Source organism: Homo sapiens, chromosome 1, assembly GCF_000001405.40.
Source record: "Homo sapiens chromosome 1, GRCh38.p14 Primary Assembly".
Classification (NCBI taxonomy): Eukaryota; Metazoa; Chordata; class Mammalia; order Primates; family Hominidae; genus Homo; species Homo sapiens.
The window spans coordinates 211599855-211620448 of record NC_000001.11 but is presented as its reverse complement, the minus strand read 5'-3'; the positions used below and the strand labels follow the sequence as shown (position 1 = coordinate 211620448).

Below are 20594 nucleotides of genomic sequence, written 5' to 3'. Positions count from 1 at the left end.
TCCCCCACGCTCACAGAAACTATAAATGAACAAGGTCTTGTCTCTATGCCACTCCTTGGCTCAAACCTGTGCTGAGTCTGCATGAGTGACTGTGAATGTGTATGTGTGCCATGTGTGTGAGCCAGTGTGGGGTTGTGTGTGAATGTGTGTGTGGGTGTGTGCGTGTGTGTGTGTATGTGTGAATGTATGCATGAGAACATATGTGAGCATGGGGTGTGTGTGTGTGAACACACGTGCTGGTGTCTGCAGTATGTGCATGACCTATGTGCGGCAGTGTGTGGAGGTGAGCCTGTGTGTGGTGAGTGTGGGTAGGTGTGAATGGGTGTATATACAGTGAGTGTGAGTGTGTGAGGAGATTCCCCAACCTGCTGGGCCCTGTGTTCCCCACAAAGTCCCCTTGCAGTTGATCCTGGTGCTCTCCTGGAGCCACGGTTGGTGGGATGCAGAGACTGTTTCCGGAAGGTCCAGCATTCTGGAGCTCTTTCTCCAATTGCCTAGAGAGTGGATCCTTTGTGGCTAAAGGGACTGATGGCTTCCGGCCTTTGCCTTCTGCCTCTGACTTCCATCCCAAGAATGTGCGTGTGCCTGCAGGTGCACACAAGTGCACTGTGTAGTCACTGCCTGTGGGACCCTGTGGGACTCTGTGAAGCTGACCCCAGGCCCCAAGCCGCCAGTGTGAACAGAGCATACGTCTCACTGTTGTTGGTGAGGGCAGTTTCAGCCTCTCCAGATATAGGAGACATTCGCCTTTGAGCTTTGTCAGGACTTTGAGTCCCTGACAGGCTCCAACAGGGACACTGGCCTGCAGGCAGGACGTTGCCTTGAAGCTGAGAGCACAGTGTGGCCCCTTAGGAATCAAGCCCACTGCCTGGGCCACTGAGGCCTCTGCTTCCTCTCAGCCCCACACAGGGTATGTTTGGGCTCTGGAGGTGGGAAGGGCTGGCCCACAGAGTCCCTAGCAGCTTCTTCCTCCTCTTTGGTTCTCCAGCTAGAGACTCCTGTACACCAGAGTCTTCATGGGCCTAGGTGGGTCCAGAAGCCAGGCCTTTGGTGGAAGAACAGAATCCCTTTTGGATTCAGGCAGGGTGAGAGGATCCTGCTGGGGATGAATGTGTCTTGGTAACAAAGCAGACTTTCAGCTGCTTAGGTTCCTGGGGCCTCAGCTCAACCCTCTGACCACACAGGGCAGAGGTGAAGGGCTCAGCCTCTGGGATCACACAGATCAGAGTTCAATTCTGGGCTCTACCACTCCCTGTGCTGTGGGAAATTGGATGAGTTACTTCATTGCTCTGAAGCTCAGTTTCTGCAGCTGTACAATGGGTATGATACTACTTACATCGTAGAAGTGTTATGAGGAGTAGTCCATCTTTAGAAGCATCTAACATTTGGGACATGGAGGAGACCAGTGACTTGTGAGAACTGTGGCAGGAGGGACCTGGGTGGGCAGACACAGATGCCTCTGTGTCTGGGAGGCTGTAGACACCAGGCAACTGCATTCCCCTTATTCTCTCCATGCCTCACCCCAAATACACTGGTCAGGGGTGTCCAAGCTAGAAGGACCTTGGACACTACCCCCGGCTGAAAGAAGTGTCAACCTGCTCCTCAGGCACAGGGCTGGGACTAGAGTCCTGCCGTCCAGACTTGGTGGGACTTTACAGTGATTAGGAGAACCACTTCTGGAGTCCCTCTCAGATCCAGATTCAAATCCCAGCTCTACCACATCACTTCACCTCTCTAATCTTGTTCTCTCGTCCGTCAGATGAAAATACTACTAGGCCACATCTTGGAGTCATGCTGGTCAATATGGTAGCCACTGGCTATGTGTAGCTATTTATTTATTTATTTATTTATTTTTGAGATGGACTTTCACTCTTGTCACCCAGGCTGGAGTGCAATGGCGTGATCTCTGCTCACTGCAACCTCTGCCTCCCAGGTTCAAGTGATTCTCCTGCCTTAGCCTCCCAAGTAGCTGGAATTACAGGTGCCTGCCACCACACCCGGCTAATTTTTGTATTTTTAGTAGAGACAGGGTTTCACTATGTTGGCCTGGCTGGTCTTGAACTCCTGGCCTCAGGTGATCCACCTGCCTTGGCCTCCCAAAGTGCTGGGATTACAGGTGTGAGTCACTGTGCCCAGCCATGTGTAGCCATTTAAATTCAAGTAAAATTAAATAAAATTTAACATGCATTTTCTTAGTTGCACTAGCCACATTTCAGATGCTCAATAGCCACAGGTAGCTAGTGGTCACTGTTTTCAGGCAGTGCAGACAGAATATTTCCATTATTTCAGAGAATTCTATGGGCAAGTGTGGCCTCCAAAGGTTGGTTGTGAAGACAAAATGAGACAATGCAGATCAAGTGCTAGGCTCAGAGCCTGGCTCTACATCAGTGATGCCGGCTGTCACTGTTGTTATCAGAGCCTTCTAAGGGGTTCTCCTTCCAGCTAAAGGTGGCCTAGAGATCAGAGCATTCCTTGGGACCATGGCCATGCACGGTGACACATCCCCTTGAGCCACACTCTGAGACTGGGGACACATTGTTCGACCTCTGTGCTTTCCTGATGAGACTGAGGCCCAGAGAAGCAAAGTAACTTTCCCAAAGTCATCTGAAAGAACAGAGGCCAGAATCCTGTTTGCTGACCCTCGCCCAGTGCCCCATTCTACTTTCCCTGTTCACAGGCACTCAGAGCAGGCACACCACGATTATCTTCTTAAAAAAAATAGATTTTTAGGACCTACCTGAGATAGAGTGAGCCAGAACTCACAGGGTATGGCCTGAGGTATGGTTTGTTTGTTTGTTTGTTTGTTTGTTTGTTTTTTGAGACAGGGTCTTCCTCTGTCATCACCCAGGCCCGAGTGCAATGGCGCAAACACAGCTCACTGCAGCCTCGACATCCAGGCTTAAGCAATCCTCCTGCCTCAGCCTCCCGTGTAGCTAAGACCACAGGCACCACCATGCCTGGTGGCTGATTTTTTAACTTTTTGTAGAAATGAGGTCTCACTTTGTTGCCTAGACTGGTCAAAAACTCCTGGCCTTAAGCAATCTTCCTGCCTTGGCCTCCCAAAGTGTTGGGATTACAGGGTGTGAGCCCTTGCTCCCGGCCTGATATCTGCTTTTTTACTAAGAGCTCTAGATGCTTTTGATCATTAGCCAGGTTGGGGCACAGTTTGAAGGGAACTGTGTCTCCTCCATCCTCTGCTCAGGACTTTGTAGGTCTCAACAGGGAGTGCTCGTCACATGCACCAGCCGCCTAGGGTCTGACTGGTTCAGGTTCTTGGTGGAGCAAACGAGGAAGCCATGGCCTTCCCCTATCCCCCAGGCTCCCCTGAGCTGGCTTCCCCAGCATGCCCTTCTTCCACCTCACCACACACATCAGAAATCCTCAGGAAAGGCAAGTGAGCGGGGACCTTGGCCTACTCCCACTGGATGTGCCACAGCAGCTGCTTTCAACAAGGTGGGTCGGGCTGGGGCTGAGGAGGCCAACAGAGTGCCCAGGCCTCAGCCCAAGGCTCCCTCAGGGACTGTTTTTGGCCCAAACACCTTGACTTTGCCTCAAGCAGGTTAGCCTTCGACAAGGGAGCCAAGTCCCTCCAGCTCTGGCTGCCAGGGAGGCCCCACAAGATGGCCGCCGGCCAGGCCTTAGTGTTATTTGGCTCGGGAGGACTGCTCTCTCCGACAGGAAGTCTTTAATCTCCACAACAGTGGTAATCACGAGTTCGGAGAGTCCAGCTTTCCATTCCAGGGAGCTCAGTGGGATTGGCAATCCTGCCCTTTGCAATGAGAGCCCTTTCATCTGAACACACCAAGTGTTTTGTCATCCTGGGGCCTGGGAACAGAGACAACAGGCTGGTGTCTGCCTCCTGTGTACATGCAGCTTAGCTGTCGCTCTGAAAACTGGTTAACGAAGCAGGGCTGTAGGGGGCTTAGGCTGGGGGTGGACAACTGAATGGCCCGTAATCACTGGCGGTGGCCCTTTCTGAAAGCTTCCCTGCTCTTGACGACTGGCTGCAGACCCTGCCCCATTCCTGTCAGGAAACTCACAAGAGTGGGGATTCCCTTGGGATGCGGTGGGAATTGTGTCTCCTCCATCCTCTGCTCAGGGCTTGGTAGGTCCCAACAGAAGGCTTATCACAAGCACCAGCCTGTCTCCCTTACCCCAGAGAGCAGAGCCCAAGGAGACTCTCTTCTGGCTCATGCTGAGAGGGGGTGCAGGCTCAGAGGACTGTGGGTTCTGACACCCACTCCTCAGAGAAACTGACATGGAAGATATTTACAGGGGGTTAAACTACCCCTCAGGGTGCATTCACTCCTTCACTCACTCATTCATTTAGCACATCTCTACTGAAGGCTTCTTATGTTTCTAGTCCCTGGGAAACTGTGGTGAACAAGAAACACAGTCCTTGTCCTTGTGGAGCTTACATTCTTACAGGGGAGTGGAGAGATAGAAAATAAATAAAAAAATAAACAGGGGTATATATATATATATATATATATATATATATATATATATATATACACATACATACACAAACACATATAATGCAATGTGAGTTAGAGAAAAGGGCTATGAAAAAAATTAAAGCAGAGTATAGACAGGAAGAGGAAGAGCTATTGATTTCATTTTTTATTTTTTTCTCTAGAGACAGGGTCTCACTATGTTGCCCAGGCTGGTGTCGAACTCCTGACCTCAAGCCTCCCAAAGTGCTGGGATTACAGGTGTGAGTGAGCCACGGCACTCAGCCAAATGGCTTTTGTTGATTTCCCCAGCCAATGGCACTTGGGGAAACTGGCTGAAGAAAGACTCATCCCACCTTTTCAAGGATGCATTAAAACATCCTTGACTCACCATTGTCCCCACCACTTGCAGCATCTTAGAAACCAAAAGTTTTGCCCGGGTGCAGTGGCTCACGCCTGTAATCCCAGCACTTTGGGAGGCCAAGGCAGGTGGATTACTTGAGGTCAGGAGTTTGAGACCAGCCTGGCCAACATGGCAAAACCCCATTTCTCCTAAAAATACAAAAACTTGCCAGGCATGGTGGCAGGTGCCTGTAATCCCAGCTACTTGGGAGGCTGAGACACGAGAATTGCTTGAACCCGGTGGGTGGAAGTTGCAGTGAGCTGAGATTGTGCCACCACACTCCAGCCTGGGCAACAGAGCGAGACTCCATCTCAAAAAAAAAAAAAAAAAAATCAAAAGTTAAAATACCCATTGGAGACCCTTTTTCATCTCCCCATAATTCCCTCTGTATATTCCTTTCCTGGGAGTCGAATATTCCCATATCTAAATTTACCAACCACAAACCACAGAACTTTTGTGATGTGATAGAAATTAGCAGGTAGATGTTATGTCTGTTTCCTTTAAGGCCACTGCAGTCAAATCTGGGGCTGACAGGAAGCTCTGCTCACATGGCCATGGGCTTGATGGCAGGAAAGTGTCCCCTTTAGGCCACTGAAAAGTGTTCCCTTTAGGTTCTTTTAACTTCCACTCTCCTGACCTTGGAATCAGCCTGCCAGGCTGTCTCCTTTCAGAAGGACGGAGGTGCACAGGTGTAATGTGCGAGATAGGAAGATCTGCCCTGAGGTCACTCTGCTGGTTCTGATAACAACGGGTACCATAGACTGATAGGTGTTCAGTCAGGGCACACAAGGCCGTCCTTCGCCAGGAAGGCCGTGGGTGTGGTGGACTTAGAGGCAGAGATGCGGCTGGAGTCCCGGCTGCCCTGTAGCCTGGAGGCAGCGTAGGCTTGAGAGGCAGGCAGACCCACGCACGGTGCTGCCACTTCCCAGGCTGCCCAGCCCCTCTGAGCCTCAGTTTCCTCATCAGTAAAGTGAGGACCTTTAACTTCCTTAAAGAAACTGTGAGGCTGGGTGCAGTGGCTCACGCCTGTAATCCCAGCACTTTGGGAAGCTGAGGCAGGTGGAGCACCGGAGGTCAGGAGTTCAAAACCAGCCTGGCCAACATGGTGAAACCCCGTCTCTACTAAAAATACAAAAAATTAGCTGGGCATGGTGGTGGGTGCCTGTAATCCCAGCTACTCAGGAGGCTGAGGCAGGAGAATTGCTTGAACCTGGGAGGCGGAGGTTGCAGTGAGCCAAGAGTGTGCCACTGCACTCCAGCCTGGGCAACAAGAGGGAAACTCTGTCTCAAAAACAAACAAACAGAAAAAACTGTATGCAAGTCCCTGGCATCTGTTAGATACTTGATAAATGACAGTGGCTACAGCTCCTTGGACAAATAGCTTAATCACTCTCAGCTTTGATTCTTCATCTGTGAAAGTGAGATATCAATATATCTGTGTCCCGGGGTCATTATGAGGATGAGATAATATGTGTGAAACCGCCCGTCACAGGGCCTGGCACTCAACATATGTTTAATCTACATTGGGAGCTCGTCCCGGAGTGAGTCAGTGGCTGGGTAGGTGTGGAGAGGGGCATTCATAATGGCTGAGCAGCCCTTCACATTGCAGGGGATGGAGTCCTTTTTCCTGTGCCCAGCTTTGTCAATGAAGAGAAAGTAAGAGAGGGTAAGTGGGGGGAAAGGATTTTCTGGATTTTTTGCTGCTTTAAATTCTGGCTTCAAAATTAGCCAGGCATAGTGGCACGTGCCTGTAGTCCCAGCTATTTGGGAGGCTGAGGTGGGAGGATTGCTTGAGCCCAGGAGGTTGAGGCTGCAGTGAGCCAGGATTGCACCACTGCATTCCAGCCTGGGTGACAGAGTGAAACTCTGTCTCTTAAAAAAAAAAAAAAAAAAAAAATTCTGGCTCCAGAATTGGAATTTACAACACTGGTAATATACCATCCAAACAGATTACATACTCAAAAGAGGGTGGGGCGGCACGAGACCAGGGTTGCTCAAAAGTGCAGTCTCACAGCCTCCACTTCCCCTGTGGGGAGCTGGCTCTGTGTCCTGGGCTCACCATCAGCCCTTCCATCTGCTGACTCATGCTCTCACAGCCCCAGCCCAGGACCGCTGAGCATGTTCAGGGAGGCCTATTAATAGCCTCTTCCTGGGACGCTCATGGTGTCTTTCTCTAAGGCAGTTTGACTACAAGCCTGCTGCCCTACCCCTCATTCTCACTCTCACGCCACCAGCACTCTCCTCACAGACCCTGAAGTAACAGTGCTGGACACTGACTGGTGCCCAGAGAGTGCTGGAGTTTCCATTCTGTCACTTCTGGATGTGTCAGCATTTCAAAATGGTGGCCTGTCAGTTTTGGTCAGAGAGCAAGGCTGAGGTGAAGCTCTTCTTACAGTGGTCCAGCGGGGTCCGCAGGATCTCCACCCAGTTGCCAGATGAGAAGCTGTTGGTAGTGGTGAGGAGGAGGATGCAGAACCCTCAAGGCGCCCAGCCTGCAGGGCAGGAAGCACAGCACCAGCCAGTAGCCGAGTTTGCACGGGAACAGGCTTTGTAGGCCCTGGGCATTGCTCACTCCAGGGCATAAGCAGAACCCGGCCTGGCAAACAGGCCAAGGGCTGCAGAGAGCATCTGGGCTGTGTTGTGAGGAGGGCCGTGGCTGCCTCTCTGGGCATAGCCTTCACAGAATGACCTGCTTTGGGAGTGTCTTCCGCTCCCACAGTGACTGGGTGAAGTAGAATCCATGGCAGGACAAGTTGAGGCCCCCTGGGCAGGCTTGAAGAGGTAAGAAGCAGCCCTGGTTCTCAGTCACTGTACTGGGAGACTCCCCTGCATGCTCTCCATGGGGACATCTTGTATGTGTGGATGAATAAGACAGCCCCATATAGTATAAAGAACATGCTTTTTCATCTCAGCTTTATCACTCATAAGCTGTGTGATCTTGGTCAAGATACACTCCTCTCTGAGCATTAGTTTCCTCAGCTATAAAAAGATAGTGTAGAGCCTGGGCAACATAATGAGACCCCATCTCTACAAAAAAAATTAAAAATTAGCTCAGCATGGCGTCATATGCCTATAGTTCCAGCCACTTGGGAGGCTGAGGAAGGACGATCGCTTGAGTCCAGGAGTCCGAGGCTGCTGTGAGCCATGATGGTGACACTGCACTCCAGCCTGGGGAACAGAGCAAGACCCTATCTCAAAAAGAAAAAAAAAAAAAAAGAAAAAGTTTTGGACAGGGTGGGGTGAGTTCCGAGGTCTCTGCTCTTCCACACCTGAGCTTCCTAGTTAATATCTTGTGCCTGTTCAGAAAATGTTGATCTGTTCAGGAAATGACAGAGGAGCAGCTAAAGAAGTCAGTAGACAAACAGGTTGCGGGAAGAGAAGGGGGAAGAGATTGAATTGAGGACTTTCTCCCTCTCTCCCTTAGAAGTCCTCCCCAATCCCTTTCGTTAGAAAAGCTTCCCTGCAGGTTCCCCACACCGTCTCCCTGGCAGGGCCACTGTTGCACAGAAAAACAGAGGCCATGGTGTGGCTTTTCTGGGCCTGAGACATGCCTTCCACCATTAGACACTGTCAGCTGAATCTCTGCTTCCTCTTCCATCCCCCCTCTCACCCAGTTCTTCTCTTTTCCCCTAACTCCTTTATGCTCAAGTCAGGATTCAGAAGGCTCCCAGGGCATGGGAGGGCTTTGCGAAAAAGGGAGAGTGAGGTGAAGGGGGTCTTGGTGATAAACAGAAAGCTTGGCCTACAGGGAGTCGGGTGCTGGGAAGAGAGGAAGAGAGAGGGAGAGAAAGCTTAGAGCTAGATGAGACCTTGACAGAGGAGGTAACCTCAGTGCTCCCCGTGACAACCATCCAGACCTGCGTGGCCCGAAATAAGTTGTCTGCCTTCATCTCTCCATCTGTAAAGTGGGCAAACCTGCCCTTCTGCCTCAGGAGGTTGGTTGGAAGCATCCACAGCCCCAAACAGCCAAACAGCCTGCTGATTTTCCAGCCTTGGCAGAGAGGTCGGAGAGAGGGAGGTGCAGCTGCCTCTGGCAGGGGGTGACCCTGGGGACCCAGCGGACCATGGGTTAATGGTTTGACTGCTGGGGTGCGAATAGCTCAGCCCCTAGCTCCAGGATACCTCAACACCAGTCAAGGGGAATCCAGGCTAAGATGCCCCTCCCCTGCCCCCTGAACTTGGCATGCAGGGAAGATGAAAGTGGCTGAAATGATTTGCTGGCTGGCGCTTCAGCCTACACGTCTGTCTGGCAATTGGTTGTGCCTGCGGAAGCCACCTTGCACACGGCCCCTGGATCCAGATTTCTACAAAGCAGTGCCAGGAAAACATGGGAGGGAGGTGGAGCATCTGGCTGATGAGCTCGCTTCAAGCCAAGAGGGAGTTTTGGTTCAGAATGGATTGTCTTTTGCTCTGTTGCTCTGGCATTAGTTTCCTAGCTGTGAAAGGGAGGCTTTTGGCCAAAAAGTAAGTGTTCATAGAACACATTGGTCGGTGAGGACTAACCCAACATAAAGAGAGAGGGTAGTTTTCCTTTTCATCACAATAAATGTGTAGTCAGCACCAACAGGAGAAGGGGCAATGTGCTAAGAGCATAGATTCTGGAATCAAACTGGTTGGGTGCAAATCACCAGCCCTGTGACTGGTTGTGAGTCATGGCCTCAACTTCCTCATCAGTAAAGTGGGGATAAGATAGATGGGGCTTTACACCGAGGTGTTTTTAATTGTTCTATAAAGCAGTTAGAACTGTACCTGGTACATGGTAAATGCTCAGTAACTATTGCTTATTGTTATCATTTTATTATAGAAATTTAGTGTCATCATCTCTATTGTTAAGGAATTTTATAATCTAGTCGGGCTACTCTATGTATGGGGTAGCCCTGCTCTGTCTATGGAGGAGTCAAAAATAATAATAATACTAATGATCTAGTTAAGGAGATAAACAAACGTACAAAAAGTGTAGCTAAAAAACATTTTTTTAAAAGATGAAGTCTCACTCTGTCGCCCAGACTGGAGTGCAGAGGCATGATCTCGGCACACTGCAACCTCCACCACCTCCTGGGTTCGAGCAATTCTCCTGCCTCAGCCTCCCCAGTAGCTGGGACTACAGGCATGTGTCTCCACGCCCGAGTAATTTTTGTATTTTTAGTAGAGACAGGGTTTCATCATGTTGGCCGGGCTGGTCTTGAACTCCTGACCTCAAGTGATCCGCCCGCTTCGGCCTCCCAAGGTGATAGGATTACAAGCGTGAGCCACCGAGCCTGGCTGATAACAAATATTTAAATAATAAACATTTAAATAGCTCCATATACAGCACACAGTGGGGTGTGTGATTGACGGCCAAATGGGTGGGACAGCATCCTGAAAGGCCAGGTGGTCTCGCCATGCCAACAATCCATTTCTAGGTTGCCAGGCCTCCCTTCTCTCAACCATATATAAAGGGTACCCCAAAGGGGACTCCGCAATCCATCACCTCCTGACAGGTGTTTGGAGCAGGGGCGAACACTTGACCCGGTGTCTGGCCAGCCATAGGCTACACAGGGACCCAGCCTGGTCTAGGGTAAAAGGATTAGTGGTTCCCACTGGACTGTGTCCAGGAAGTCTGATTTAGACCCAGGGAGAAAAATGAAACAATCAGCTGAGGGAACAGGAGCTGGAAGGACATCCTGAGGTAGAAGTGGGGGTAACAGCCGTCACAAGGGAACAGCAACGGTGAAGAGGCTGCCTGTCCGCAGAGCTGGGACAAGAGCAGGCACACAGAGAGAGCATAGAACAGCATGTGGGGGCCACCAGAAGGCCTTTGATGAAAGGCAGGAAGGAGCCATTGGGGAGCTGCCTTTGTTCCCACTGGCCTTCTGAAGGAACTCAGTGAGTTTTTGATCCCAGTGACCAAAGAAGCTGGACAGCTATGCAGAGAAGGCAGGGGGCATGGAGGGCCGCAGGAGTTGTTGGGGGCTGCAGGGGGCATGGAGGGCAGTAGCAGCCTACCGGGCCTGCACCAGGAACAGGGAGAGGCTCCTGTCTGGAAAGCCAGGGGGATGCCAAACAGGCAGAGGGGCTGAAGGAAGGAGCAGAAGAGAACGATCACGCTATGGAAAAGCATGAAGAGGACCTGGGGCAAGGTGAGTAGACTGATTTGGTTGGAGCCAAGTGTTGGAAGATCAGAATTTGGAAATATTCAGAAAAATACATTGTGAGGATGCTTTCACTTGCCAGTAACAGGAAACCCAAACAAACCTGGGTCAAACTCTAACAGGAATGGACTGACTCATGTTTTGGAAAAGTCAGGAGGTGTGGCGGGCTTCAGTCAAGGCCAATCCAGAGTTCAAAGCCACACCAAGGACCTTGCATTTGTGTCTTTCCTCTCTTCTTCCGAAGGCTTCGTCCTGACTCCACCTCCCTGGCTTGAAGCCAATGTGCCAAATGACAAATTTGCCAAAAACATGATTTAAGGAATATGCTTTTTTAAAACAGTCAATAAACATATATATATATATATATATATATATTTTTTTTTTTTTTTTTTTTTTGAGATGGAGTCTTGCTCTGTTACCCAGGCTGGAGTGTAGTGGTACTAACTCGGCTCACTGCAACCTCCACCTCCTGGGTTCTAGTGATTCTCCTGCCTCAGCCTCCCAAGTAGCTGGGATTACAGGCACCCACCACCACACCTGGCTAATTTTTTTTGTATTTTTGGTAGAGAAGAGGTTTCACCATGTTGGCCAGGCTGCTCTCGAACTCGTGACCTCAAGTGATCCACCCGCCTCGGCCTTCCAAAGTGCTGGGATTACATGCGTGAGCCACTGCACCCAGCCTGAATATGCTTATATTTTCAAATTGATTCAGAAATTGGCTTTCAATGAATTGGCTTTCAGAAAATTGTTTTTAGGCCAATTGCCCTGTTTGCAGCTATTCTTGAGAACCACGATGGTTGGCAGCAGCTCCTTGGACTGTAAGCTTCTCCACTCATGTCCAGGAGAAGAAAGAGCCTCTATGCCCAGCCTCACCAGCACAAGTCCTGAGGTTTGCTCTGGTGGGTCAGCAGGGCTCACAAGTGGTCCCCCGAGCCAATGACTGTGGCCTGGAGAACATGCTGGCTGGCTTGGATCTAGCTCAGTGTCTTTTCTTCAGCCAGTAGCTAGGGCCAGGGTGATGGGGCTATGTTGGTGGGCTTAAGCCATTTGAGCCCCACTCCTAAGGCAGGGGGTGGGTAAAATCATACCCTGGGCATGTGGCTGGGGAACTCCCATTAGGAAAGGCCACGCAGGCCACAGATATGGAGAACCTAAGTAACAATGCCAGTGACAGTTGAAGACATTCCTGAATAACCAGCCAAAGTGTTTGGACTTTGTTCTACAGGCAGCCAGGTGACATTGGAAGGTTTTTAGATCTGGGAAGAAAGTTCTTCCTGGTGGTGTTTTAGGAAGATTAGTCTGACCATAGATTGGATGAAAGTAGAAAAAAGGCTGGCAAACCAGTGGGGTGATTAGAGAACCCAGGGGAGAGGCAATGAGGACTGAAACTAAGGAACTGGAATGAGAAACCAAAGAAAGGGAGGACAATAAAGTATTTTGAAAGAAGAAGTAGGTCGGGCACTGTAGCTCATGCCTGTAATCCCAGCACTTTGGGAGGCTGAGGCAGGAGGATCACCTGAGGTCAGGAGTTCAAGACCAGCCTAGCCAACATGGCGAAACCCCCTCTCTACTAAAAATACAAAAATTAGCTGAGCCTGGTGGCATGCGCCTGTAATCCCAGCTACTCGGGAGGCTAAGGCAGGAGAATCGAACCTGGGAGGCAGAGGTTGCAGTAAGCCAAGATGGTGCCATTGCATTCCAGCCTGGGCAGCAAAAGTGAAACTGTTTCTGTCTCAGAAAAAAAAAAAAAAAGCAAGCAAGAAAGAAAGAAGTACTAGGAGTTAGTGTCTTATTGGACATCAGGGAAGTGGGTGGACAGTGACAGAGGGAGTCTGACAGAGGGAGTCAAAAATGGCTCCAAGGTCTCTGACCTGGGTGAAATCATGGAACTTCTGCCTGTACCATTAATAACTCCTTTCTCTGAGAGCTGTCTCCTCACTCACAGGGAAGGTCCTCTGTCCTGTTCGTACTGGGTCCCCATTGTTTTTGCAGCCTGGCCCTCCCTCCCTTTCTGGGAATGGACCCTTCCCTCCTGGGAAGCATCCATTGCTCCCTCATCTCTCCACGGCTGTTGTGGAGGTCACTGTGTAAATGCACAGCCTTTGTCTAGGGACGCCGGACCCAAGATGGGTCAATCGGAACTCTTCCTCAGCTTGGGACTAAAGCAAAGAAAGATCTCTCTCTCTCTCTCTCTCTCTCTCTCTGTCTCTCTCAATCTCTCTCGGAGGCTGAAGATGTGATTGGGCCAGCTGGTGACCTGTTGCTGGCCTCATGCTTCCACATGAAGATGCCAGGCTGCAAAACGGAGAAGAAGGAAGCCCATGCAGAGATGGCTTCTGAGTGAGAGCTTAGGAGCAGCTGCCCGGGTGCCCGTAGGCGGTCAGATTTCTAGATGCACTTCCTGTTCTTGGGTTCCGCAAGACACCCTCTGGCTCTTTTGCATACATTTTAAGCAACTACTTCTGAAGTTGGGAAATCAGGAGTAGCCGCTGACTCTAAAGAGAAACTATATCAATTTGGAATGTATTTGCATTATCAGTGAGTTTACTGGAAGTATTAAAGCTGGACCATCACTTGGAGATGTTGTAAGGAAATGTGAACATTTGGCGAACAGACCTTTAAATAAAGAAGGAAGCCATGGGAGTGGCTGAGATCTCCCTGAGAGAAAGTGGAGAGATGTTCAGAGGTAACTTCGTTTAGAAACTTTTATTTAAAAATCACATTTAGAAACTAGAAGGTGTGGGGGGACCCAGTAAAGGAGACAGAAAGGGATTTACCAGAGAGTTGCGGGAGCTACGATTGTGGTGTCAAAGAACCAAAGGGAGGAGCAAATGCAAGATCTCAACCAATAAGGAAGTGTAAGCGACGAAGGGCAGGCCTTGGGGTGGGTCGACTCAGCAGCTCCACCATTTTACTGAGAGCCCAGGTGCTTTCTACCTCTCTGCTCTGCTGTGCTTGGCGTTGGCTTCACCTGAGGGTTGAAGGTTCTTTCCTTGGATGAGAGATAACTGTGAGTAACTGGCACAGTGGAAGGGAGAGAAAGGACACTTTCCCAGCCATGGAATCTGAGCTTCTGTCTTCAGTCTGATTGGGCTATTTTAGATCCTGTGCTCACCCTAGCCCAAAAAGATTCCCCGGAGAAATGCCATTTACTAATACCCTTCGCCTATCAGGAACCACCCCTGTGGACCCAGGAACAGGGTCTGTGTCCCTTGAAGCACGTGACAGCAGAGGACGGGAGGCTCCACCTGAACATGACCAGGGGTCTCCTGGGGAGGAAAAATGGAGATGGAAGCTGCAGAGGAAACGAACAGCTGCCCCCACACATGCCGTACAAGGCCTGCATGGGATGATGTACGTAGAGCTGCATTTAATGTATACTAAAAATCACTGGGCCGTGTTGCTAACTTCTGTTAGCAGAGAATGCAGAAAGGCTGTGGGAGCCTTTCATTGCCAGCTCTACGTGACCCTTCCCCTTATGATCAACACCAGACCAGGGATTTAACTACAAGGCCCTGCCTTACCCAGCTCTTTTTGTCCCCACTTTGCAAAGTTCCTAAAATGTACCAGATTTCTTTCTTCTTCATGGTCTTATATGCTGATCCCTCTGCGGAAAACAGTCTCTGTATTTGTTGCCTTTTCTTACGTAGGTTTCACTTCATGTCATTCCTTAAAGAGCACTTCCCTGTCCTCCTAAACTGAATTAGGTGCCCCCTCCCTGGCTTGTGTCCCTATTGGGATCTAGTTCCAGATTGTAATTATGTTTCTATTATGTTCATGTGTAGCTCTGTGGTATGGGGGCCACATTTGTTCTGCTCACTAGTGAATCCTCAGAGCCTGGCACATGGCAATGCTCAAGACATTTGATGAATGAATTAGCTATTTCATGCACTTCTTCGTCTAACTCTCATGCCTATTGTCTTTTTTAAGCATGTGAGACATCTTTGGAGGTTATTGAATGTAAAGATTTCTACAAAACAGTACCCATTCCAAAAGATTAATGATGTTTAATAAACCTAAATAATAAGGAATGCTTGGAAAGCTCATAAAGTAACAGCAATGGAACAGGGAGATTTTTTAAATCATATTTAAGTAATTTATTGCTTTGCATCAGTTACCCTTACACAGATAAAGCCAAGACTAGAGCAAATTGGTGAACTAGTTAGTTCAACACTGTCTTTGCCCCAGCCCCTATCTCACTAGCTAATTACATTAGCAGACATATATCAAATGTTTCCTCTGTGCTGCCCATTGTGCTGGACTGTGAGATTTGGCCCTGATTTCAGTCCGGATTCTAGTAGGGCTTCCAGCACCTCCTTCTCCCTTTGGGGCTTCCCTCAATTCCATTCAACAAATATTTATTGAACTCATAGTTGGGTGAAAGAAATGATGAATGAGTAAATCCGTAGCAATACTTCATGTTACTACTCACGATGATGGCTGTGAGGTGTTAACAATATTTTGAATCATGCAAGTTTTCATTAGGGCCATTCTATCTATTAAGGCAAGAACTGAACAAATACATCTAAGAATGGGTTTCTACTAGAAAGATTGCAACAAATAAGTTTTTCTGATTAGCCCTCAGATAATTCAATTAACTTCTATTACCAGAACGTTCAAGTCTGCTTTGCTAGCCTATGAGTTTCCATACAGGAGGGGCTGAAGGGCTGGCAATCTGTTAGGAAGGCAAGCTGGAGTTTTGTCTTGAAGTCATGTTTACACAGCAAGTATGCTGTTTCTGCTTGGATTCCATGGCTATTTGGCATAGCTAAAGGTGGCTATTGGAAATCATGGGGAAATTAAATCTTTGCCCCCTCTCAATCATTTATTGGCGCTACCACTGATCCTAGCTAACTGAAGCATAATTACATTTTGTTTGTTTGTCAGACTTTCAGACTGCTCAGGCTTCAAAATCCACAAGATTTCAAAAAGAAAATTTCAAAGGGAGAAAGAAGCCATAGTCTGCTCTGATAACTTGTTTATCAATTTATTTTTCAATTTCCCTGTCCTCTTCTCTCAGAGGGAAACATGAGTGAGAACCTGACTCGCAACCCCTATGAGATAGAGAATATTTGCCTTTTTTTTTGGTTGATTGCTGGGCTTGAAAAGAAAAAAAAAGACAGAAAATAAAAAAGGTTAGAAGTCGGGCATGATGGCTTACGCCTATAATCCTAACACTTTGGGAGGCCAAGGCAGGCAGATCACTTGAGCCCAGGAGTTCAAGACCAGTCTGGGTAACATGGCGAAACTTCGTCTCTACAAAAAATACAAAAATTAACCAAGTGCAGTGGTGCATGCCTGTAGTCCCAGCTACTTGGGAGGCTAAGGCAGGAGGATCGCTTGAGCCTAGGATATTGAGGCCTCAGTGAGCCGTAATTGAGCCACTGCACTCCAGCCTGGGTGACAGAGCAAGACCCTGTCTCAAAAAAAAAAAAAAAAGAAAAGCCAAGTTAAAAATCTGTAAACTGATAATATGGAAACATGTTTACCTACTTTACAGGAATGTCATATCATCAAAACCAGAGGAATTTTCTGTGCAAATACAAAGGAAGTAATTTAATAGTTTCCAAATGGTCTTTCTTGTTTTCTTATCACCCATCCACTCCTTGCACATTTTTGAAAAAAATTGTCTAGTTTGTATTTACCCTTCTCACTTATGCTGCATAAACACATTTTGCTCAAGGAAGGCAAACCTAGACAGGTCTGGTTTAATTCCACAATCAGATATTAATATAGTGTTTTGAAGATAATTGCTTTATGACCTCAGAATGAATCAGTTCTCAGGGCAAGGAGACATTTAATGCAGCAGGCAGCACGCTTGCCATGCCCCATATGTGGTGTGCTTGTAGTGCAGTGGGGCTCAGCTTCACGGGCACACCACGTGTGTACCATACCCACAAACTGGATTAGCAAGAATGTGTAAACTTGGACTTCATTCCCTCTCTTCCCTAGATTCTGCTCAGGAAGCTAGATTTTGTGATTAGGCAATCCTATTGGGTGAAAGCTCACAATAGTACTGATATTCCTAACAATAGCTACCATTTATTGTACATCTATTACAGGCCAGGCTAAATGCTGGGCTCAGTGCTTTGTGTCCTCATCTTTGGAGCCCTCATAACACCAATACCAGGTGTATTTTATTATCTCCTCATTTTCTCATATTGCAGATGAGGACACTGAGCTGAGAGCAGTTGAGTCACTTGCCCAAGGTCATATTGCTGGGATTTAAACCACAGTGTGCCTGGCTCAGAGGGAATTTTCTGAGAAAGGAATGAGCTGAGGTTTCAGGATCCTTCACTTACATGGCCCTTTGCAAGGCCCTGTGCCTAATTTTGTGTTTGCAATTTTTAAAATTCTTTTTCTTGAAGAGGCCCCCTAAACCGTGTTAGCCGAAGTCTCCATAAAACCTGAATCCAGCTTTGGCTTCCCTTCAGAGCTTTCATTCTTAATCTCCAAATTGTAGTTTCTAACCAAGCATAATAACATTAATGTCAAGGACTGACATATCACATACTAAGTGATCTGTTCATAGTAGGTGCTCAATAAAGGTTGAATGAAAAAGCACACATGACTGAATAAATGTCCTACTCAAAAACCATAATGTGGATCAACTCCATGTATGTTGAAAACCAAGGGGTAGATTAAAATGATGTGAGCCATTGAAAGAAATTGGCTCTTTCCTGACACGGGGCATGGAGCAGCAGCTAAGTTTTTGCCAGGGTAAAAGAGCAGACAGTGTAGATTTTTCTCTGTATCCCTTTGCCATTAATAAGTCCTGGAGAATACCACATTGATGAATTTGCAGTGACTTCCTCTTTGCAGTCACTTCCATAAGCGACACCTCATTTCACTTAGCTTATCCAATTAACAAAAGGAGAAAACAAATTAAAAGAAAGTCCCTGAGGTAGTCGAGACTCAGTGTGCTTAAGTGGATAAACAACATAATTGGAATTGCCTACCCTTATGAAAGCACCATAGTTGGGGCTGGTTTTGAACAAGTAGTTCTAGTTTGGCAAGAGTTTGTTAGTGTCATTTCACAGGAAAGGCTAGGAGGAAATGTATTTAAAATGCAACAAGAGAATTCTTGGTTAGAAACGCAGATGGTACAGATTGATAGATATTTGAAGTAGCTATTGAAAGAAGTTGGTGAGAGTATGTTCCTCATCTACCAAAAATGTTATCTTGCCTTCAGGCAAGGACCCTGGGGAGTTCTCTAAGACCCTTCAAGCCTAAAAGTTCCAGTGTACTCACGGGATGAGAAATCACTTGGTAGTACATAAATCAAAGCAAAAGATGCCTGCTCTTCTCTGTAACAGCGGAACAGTTGGCAAAATCCCAAATTGTTTATCAGATATTGGGGCCGCTCACAGTTTAGTTTCAGGAATTTATTGTCTAGGTAAGTGGTATCAGGACTTCAAAGTGGTGTCTCTCTACACAAATTAATCAACAAATTTAATGGGCCTGGCATCGTAGCTCACACCTGTAATCTCAGCACTTTGGGAGGCCGAGGTGGGCAGATAGCTTGAGCCCAGAAGTTTGAGACCAGCCTGGCCAACATGTGAAACCCTGTCTCTACTAAAAATACAAAAAATTACCCGGGCATGGGGGCACACGCCCGTAATCTCAGCTACCCAGAAGGCTGAGGTGGGAGGATCACCTGGGCCCAGGAGGTTGAGGCTGCAGCGAACAGTGATTGCACCACTGCACTCCAGCCTGGGTGACAAAGTGAGACCCTGTCTCAGGAAAAAAAAAAAAAAAATTAATGCAACTTCAGTTAATATCCTCATGAGATAAAAAGAAGAAGGAGAAGAGGAAGAACAAGAAGAATAAAAAGGTAATGGACAATCATTTCTCTCTCCATGTATTAATGTAACTCATAAATATTCACATATATGTGGTAATTAAAAGTGTGACCCTGCAAACCCACTCCTAGATATTTATTCCAGTGAAATGATCATCTATATTCACACAAAAACCAAACATTTATAGCAGCTTTATTCTTAACATCCAAAAGCTGGAAACAACTCAAATGTCCCTCGGTTGGGAAACGAATAAACTGGTAGGTGTGGTATGTGTGTGTGGCATGTGTGGTATGTGTGTGTGGTGTGTGTGGTATGTCCACACCAGGGAATAATACTCAGCAATAAAAAGGAAGATACTATTGATACATGCAGCAACACGGATGCATCTTAGGGTATTATGCTGAGTGAAAGAAGACAGATTCAAAAGGCTGTATACTGTATGATTCCATTTCTATAACATTCTGGAAAAGGTAAAACAATAGGGATGGAAAACAGATCAGTGGTTTCCAGGGGTTAACAGAGTGGGGAGGTTTGAGGGTGAACCCTTCGAAAGGATAGCATGAAGGAATTTGGGAAGGTAATGGAACTGCTGCCGTGCCTACACAACTCTGTGCATTTGGCAAAACTCAGAACTGTATACCCCGAAGAGCGAACTTTACTGTATGTAAACTAAAAAATAAAATAAACCTGTATTACACTAGTACAGGTTTAAACAGGTCAATGGAACATCACAGAGAGCTACAAATGAAATCCAATATAGTTAATTTGTTTTGCTAAAGATGGCATTTTTAAATCCATGGAGAAAATACACAGTGCTGGGAAAACTGGTTCTTATCATTAAAAAAAGATACTACCTCATACCTTAAATCAAAATAAATTCCAAAAGGATTAATTAAATGAGAACAATATTTAAATGAGAATACTAGAGAACATACACATTTTTCTAATAATGTTGGTGTGGAAAGGATAATTACATTTATCTTTCTTAAGAATAATATAAAAGTCAGAAACCATAAAGAAAAAAAGTATTTATTTATTTTTTTTTTTCGAGACAGGGTCTCACTCTGTCATTCAGGCTGAAGTGCAGCGGCACAATCACGGCTCACTGCGGCCTCAACCTCCTGGGCTCAAGCAATCCCCTTGCCTCAGCCTCCTGAGCAGCTGAGACTACAAGCACCAACCACCACACCTGGTTAATTTTTCTATTTTTTTGTAGAGACGGAATTTCACCACGTTGCCCAGCTTGGTCTCAAACTCCAGGGCTCAAGTGATCTGCCCACCTCAGCCTCCCAGAGTGTTGGGATTACAGGCATGAGCCACCACACCCGGTCAAGAATTGATTTAAAAATTTAAAAACTCCAGCCGGGCATCGTGGCTCACGCCTGTAATCCCAGCATTTTGGGAGGCCGAGGTGAGTGGATCAACTGAGGTTGGGAGTTCGAGACCAGCCTGACCAAATGGAGAAACCCTGTCTCTAATAAAAATACAGAATTAGCTGGTGTGGTGGCACACGCCTGTAATCCCAGCTACTCAGGAGGCTGAGGCAGGAGAATCGCTTGAACCCAGGAGGCGGAGATTACAGTGAGCCGAGATCGCGCCATTGCACTTCAGCCTGGGCAACAAGAGTAAAACTTCATCTAAAAAATAAATAAATAAATAAATAAATAAAACTCAGTAAAACAAACTAAGAATAACAACAAGTCGGCAGACAAATGACAAACTGGGAAACATATCTATAACACTTACGATAGCTAAAGATATCTACAGTGGATGCTAGGGTCTGCCACCCTGATCCCTCTTTCAG

General features: G+C 47.4%; 1 long non-coding RNA gene across 2 annotated transcripts, besides 1 other annotated feature; it reads left to right on the top strand.

The window, feature by feature from the left end:
* Positions 3588-3882: an enhancer, noted in NCBI's record as "tiled region #10274; HepG2 Activating DNase matched - State 5:Enh, and K562 Activating non-DNase unmatched - State 6:EnhF". NCBI's record gives its function as "activates a minimal TATA promoter and a strong SV40 promoter by Sharpr-MPRA in HepG2 cells, with weak activity in K562 cells {active_cell/tissue: HepG2 | K562}" and the evidence as "EXISTENCE:reporter gene assay evidence [ECO:0000049][PMID:27701403]".
* LOC105372903 (uncharacterized) lies at positions 10363-16553 on the top strand. Of its 2 annotated transcripts, XR_922553.3 has the most exons (3): positions 10879-10976; positions 13216-13998; positions 14162-16553. It is a non-coding gene; the product is annotated as an uncharacterized LOC105372903 (long non-coding RNA). The 2 variants fall into 2 exon arrangements; XR_001738450.2 differs by having other exon boundaries at positions 10363-10976; positions 13216-16553.
* Positions 16554-20594: the final 4041 nt, after the last annotated feature.